We start from the raw sequence: 5,579 nt of genomic DNA, 5'->3' as shown, positions 1-5,579 counted from the left end.
GATGTTTTTTAGATAATTTTACTTAAATATCTCTGTTGGAAAAGACAGCAGCAATAATAACAGCTATAAGTTACTAAGTGCTATTAGGCACTTTGCAAACATCAATCCTTACAGCAACACTATAGATATGAATATTCCCATTTTACAGATGAGTAAAACAATACCCAGAAAAGTTAAGTTACATGCCCAAGAGAGGGACAGAGCTAGGATTAGTATCTGATCTAATTGACTTCTAAGCTCATGCTCTGAACCATCACAGTATTAATTTTGTTAGAAATGCAGCTTCCTCTGTGGGATGTTAATATTTAGCGTGCCTTGTATAATCCTGTCTGGTGACCCTATTTGGATAACTGAGTTGAGCATAATTTTAGATGAGAAATTGAATAGGGGGTGACTTCCTGACCCAGTACGTGGGATAGCCTTGGGATAAACTTAATTGAAGTATTACTTTGATGGGTTACAGAGACTTCTGAGGTAAGATCAAAGAGACATTTGTATAAGGCCTTGAGGGACCAAATTAGCCATCTCATTGGTTCTAGCAGCCATGACAATAATTAGTCAAGCAGCCTTTCGAAGGTGCTGGTAGGACTTTCCTTATACCTCTAATTGTCTCCCTCAAGGGGAAGTGAAATCACCTTTGACTGACCCCAGATCTGGCTGCTAAGCACTTTGGTTTAGTTGAAGAGAAAATGTTTGGGGAAATGTTAACCATGCACTCTAACCTCTAGGGCAGGGTTCTGCCAACTGCCTGTCACAACCCATTAAGGGTCATGAAATCAATTTAGTGGATCATGAGCAACATTTTTTAACCCAATTTACATGACTCCTTTTATTTCACACACTCATGGACTAGACCATTCTAAAGTAATATGGATTACTAAAGATAGCATTATTTTTATGACATTATTAATTATTATTTCTTGTGTTCTTCGTGTATTTACATGTGTTATAGTTTTTTCCATTTCCTTTTTTTTTTTTTTTTTTTTGAGACAGGGTCTTGCTCTGTTGTCTAGTCTAGAGTTCAGTGGCATGATCACAGCTCACTGCAGCCTCAACCTCCCAGGTTCAAGCAATCCTCCCACCTCAGCCTTCCAAGTAGCTGGGACCATAGGTGTGCTCCTGGTTAATTTTTGTATTTTTTGTAGAGACGGGATTTCACCATGTTGCCCAGGCTGGTCTGTAACTGCCGGGCTCAAGAGATCCACCTGCCTTGGCCTCCCAATGTGCTGGGATTACAGGCGTGAGCCATCACGCTTGGCTTTTTTCTTTTACTGATACATAATGTGTTACATATTTATAGGGTACATGTGACTGTTTGCCACAGGCATAGAACGTGTAATGATCAAGCCAGGGTATTTGGGGTATCCATCACCTTAAGTATTTATCATTTCTATGTGTTTGTATCCATGAGTAACACTTAAAAACAGAGAAGACCAGAGTAGAAAGTATTATGGATCTCATACCTTATAGGCAGGACCAGCTAAATAATTTTTGGGGCTCACCACAAAATAGAAATATGGGGCTCCTTGATTAAAAGGCAGAAAATACTGTTGCTAGAGGGACTCAAATATAAAGCTTTTTTCTTTTTTCTGCAGTCTCTGTCTTGACTTGCCAGCCATATTGGGGATTTTTTTTTTTTTTTTGAGACAGGGTCTCACTCTGTCGCCCAAGCTGGAATGCAGTGGGACAATCACGGCTCACTGCAGCCTTGAACTCCTGAGCTTCAGCGATCCTCCCACCTCAGCCTCCCGAGTAGCTGGGACTACAGGTGCACACCATGCCCAGCTAATTTTTTAATTTTTGTGCAGACATGTTTCACCATGTTTCCCAGGCAGGTCTTGAACTCCAGAACTCAAGGAATCTGCCCACCTCGGTCTCCCCAAGTGCTGGGATTACAAGCGAGACCCACTGCGCCTGACTGCCACAGTGTATTTTTATTTGCTATTTATTCCAACCCTAAGTAAAAAAAAAAAAAAATTAAATTATTAACATAAAATTTACTGTTAATCTTTATTAGGCAAGGCCAGTTCAAAGACACAAATATAAAAGCACTTAACTTACATGCAGAATCACCAAAACTACACAGTTTATATTTTGTAGCTTTTACCAGAACAGTGGAAACACTGCACAAAATGAATTGAAGTGTTTTTGTTTCACTTCCGATACATGCACATACTACACATACTAAAAATAGTCTCTGCCTTTGGTTTACTGGTGAGTAAGGCATGATGAAAGAGAAAGGGTTGATGTATCTTCTCCCTTTTTTTCTATGTCATCATCTTCAGCATAACTGGTTGGCTAATACAGGAAAGTAACACCATAGGATATAATAGGGTTCTTCATATTACTTTTTTTTTTTTTTTTTTTTTTTTTTTTGAGACGGAGTCTTGCTCTGTGGCCCAGGCTGGAGTGCAGTGGTGCGATCTCGGCTCACTGCAAGCTCCACCTCCTGGGTTCACACCATTCTCCTGCCTCAGCCTCCCGAGTAGCTGGGACTACAGGCGCCCGCCACCACGCCTGGCTAATGTTTTGTATTTTTAGTAGAGACAGGGTTTCACTGTGTTAGCCAGAATGGTCTCGATCTCCTGACCTCGTGATCCACCCACCTTGGCCTCCCAAAGTGTTGGGATTACAGGTGTGAACCACTGCGCCTGGCCGGTTTTCATATTTCTTAGAATCCCATTGCATTGAATTCTTTCTGTCTATGAAACAAGATCTTGTTCAAAAGGTAAGCATGACCTCTTTGGTCTGTCACTACCCTACTCCACCCCGCCTTAGTTGTAGAGGGAACACATCTTCTTCTCCCTTTGAGACTTGCTGAACTCCCAAGCACTGCCAGTTCACTGCAGTTGTGTTCTCTGGGGGCATCACAAACACTGTATGTAAATGAGGGAACAAGAAACACACATTTTCCGCATCTACTCTGCTCATGTGCGTGCTCCACTGTTGCATTTGACTTCATTTACAAAACACAAGTTCAAAAATAAAATTATTAAAGATTCCTAGACAGTGGTAGTAGAACACTAAACCAACTATGCGGCTCTTCTGAGCGTGTGGCCCTGTGCTACTATAACAGGCCACAAGCCTAGGAAGCCAGCCCTGAGGATTACGTATTTTTTGTGAAAGTTTTACTTCAGGTGTGTGTGTGGGAGTGTGTGGTATGTGTGTACTGGGGTCATCGTCAAAGTTTGGGAATCCCTGCTTTAGGAGAAGGCCAGGCTTCTCCCATGTCCTCCCCTACTAGGTGTTAGAGCTTTCTCCGGGAAGAGTCAGGTGATTTTAGTTAGAACAGGACTAGGGCTAACCTCTTCAGTGCAGTGCAAGTTCTCTCCATTCTGTGATCTCCCCTGCCCCTGCAACTCATGTGGTTGGTATGACAAGACAGGCCAGGGTGGTCTCCTCTTTATAAGCAGGCTGCCTTGACCTTACCCAAAAAGGAAACCAGGGTGGGCCAAGGAGAAAAAAAAAAAAACATCTGTCTTGTACCTGCTTAGGCTTTACTTCTCATCTAAGCTCATTTAAGCTCAAGGGGAAAAAAGGGTCCTTTCACCTCACACACAGCAGGCCAGTTTACCAAGGTAAGTAACTATTAGGTTGGTGCAAAAGTGATTTTGCTATTACTTTTAATGGCAAAAACCGTGATCACTTTTGCACCAACCTAATACTTTAAGCGATTCAGCAATAAGTAGGCTCTTTCCTGAGGCGTCTTTGTGATTATATCCTACCCTTGGGAATCTGTTGGAGTATGGGCAGCAAGATGGGCTTCAAGGATCCAGAGAAACTTAGCCATACCTGCCTTTTTCACTATTAACATAATAAGCCTTGATATCAGTTTTACTTTTTACATTGTAAACGTTCTATTAGTTCCACAGAGAATTCAAAAGTTAAAGAAAATTATACGGAAGAAAAGTAAAATTGCCTGTTATGTAAAATTCCATCATAAACACTGTGAACATATTTTGTATGTTTTTTTCCACTAATTTTTCTATGTGTATACATTACAATTAAACACAATGGATGATATTGTCTATAGAAGTTTAATCTCATTTATTTCACTTAGCATTACATTACGAGATTGTTTCTTTCTCCTAGACAGTGCTGCACATGCACAGAAAACTTTCTGTCTGTCTCTCCTGCATACTTAAGATGCATTGATATCATTGGTTAAGGTAAAGTTAAATCAGTTGTTTCTTGTAACTAGAAAACATTTTTATTTCCCTATTAGTTTCCCTCTCAGAGGAGATCCTTATTCCAAATTTACTCTTTGTTCCAGTAATTTGCACTCTCTGCCACAAGGTAATAAGAAAAGAGTGAAGATATTTTCTTGTAGCTAGAACCAGACTTCTACACCAAGTTCAACTCTTTATCAAAATAATATTTACCTTTGTTACATCTAAGTAACAAAACTTTGAATGTGATATCCATTATATTTGTTAATCAAATACAGAACCTCAATTACGTGCATCTTTTTTTTTTTTCTAAATAACGTGGCAGCCCTTTGTCCCTTCTTGCCTTTAAAACCCGACCTACACAGCAAGACTTTTTCTCTCCTGATGCTTACCTGAAGTTACCCTGGGTTCTAAAATGTGTGCCGTTTTGCTCCAGTGTCTGGCTTCCTGCTTCCTATCCTTGATAGGGAGCCTTCTCTCCTTTTCTATGTGTATATGTTACAATTAAACACAATGGATCATATTGTCTATAGAAGTTTAATCTGGTTTATTTCACTTAGCATTATATTACGAGAGCCGTCCACTCTCCAATAGTGTTTTAGGGACAGTATTTTATTGATGAAAATAGAACTGTGGTTTAAAAACATTAAATAGTTAAATTACCATAGTAATTATAAAAAGTAATTACTCCTTTTCCCCAGAATATAATTTTAAAAACACATTCATGCAGAATCAAAACAGAGGTTTCGAAACAGATACAGTAGAGATCCTTCTGGGAATCAAATCAGCAGATTCCCAGCCTTCCCACATTGCCTGATCCCATGGTTCTTGAACTGAACCTCCTCCCCTAATCCTCGTCTTTCTTCACTTCTAAGAATCACTACCTGTTTTCGTCGTGAGAGTTAACACTAGTCAGGGAGGGATGGTTAGGCCCTGGTGATCTTCCATTACATCCAAACAAGGAAAGATCATTTAGAGAGAATTTCTAAGGAAATACCTCTGTCCATGACCTTATCTTAAGTACATTCTACAAGAGATAAAAAATGACGATGGCAACAAGCCAAGAATCCATAGCTCTCATTATCTTGAGTTTGCAGGGTATGAAAATCACAGAATGTCAAACTCTGGAAATCATCCCATCCTTCATTTTGCAGATGCAGAAAAATATCCAGAAAGTAAAGGACTGATTTGAAAGTCACATATCTTGTCAGTGGCAGATCTGGGGCTAAAAGCTCAAATTACTAGATTCTGATTTCAGCACTTTCAGCTCTGCCAAACTATCTAAAACTGGGAATTGCATTACTTGTAGAATGATTTTAGGCTCTAATGAGCAGCAGCTTGCTGAATGGCAGAACAGCCAAAGGAGACTACTGCCACTTGCTGGTAGCATATGTAAATTGTTGAGACTGT

General features: G+C 39.9%; 1 annotated feature.

Moving 5' to 3' along the window:
• Nucleotides 764-813: an enhancer, noted in NCBI's record as "active region_29981". NCBI's record gives its function as "activates an Ori minimal core promoter by ATAC-STARR-seq in GM12878 lymphoblastoid cells {active_cell/tissue: GM12878}" and the evidence as "EXISTENCE:reporter gene assay evidence [ECO:0000049][PMID:35858748]".

The sequence above is a fragment of the Homo sapiens genome, chromosome X (genome assembly GCF_000001405.40).
Source record: "Homo sapiens chromosome X, GRCh38.p14 Primary Assembly".
In the NCBI taxonomy this organism is placed as follows: domain Eukaryota; kingdom Metazoa; phylum Chordata; class Mammalia; order Primates; family Hominidae; genus Homo; species Homo sapiens.
The sequence above is the reverse complement of the archived record's forward strand: the minus strand, read 5'-3'. Positions and strand labels throughout refer to the sequence as shown.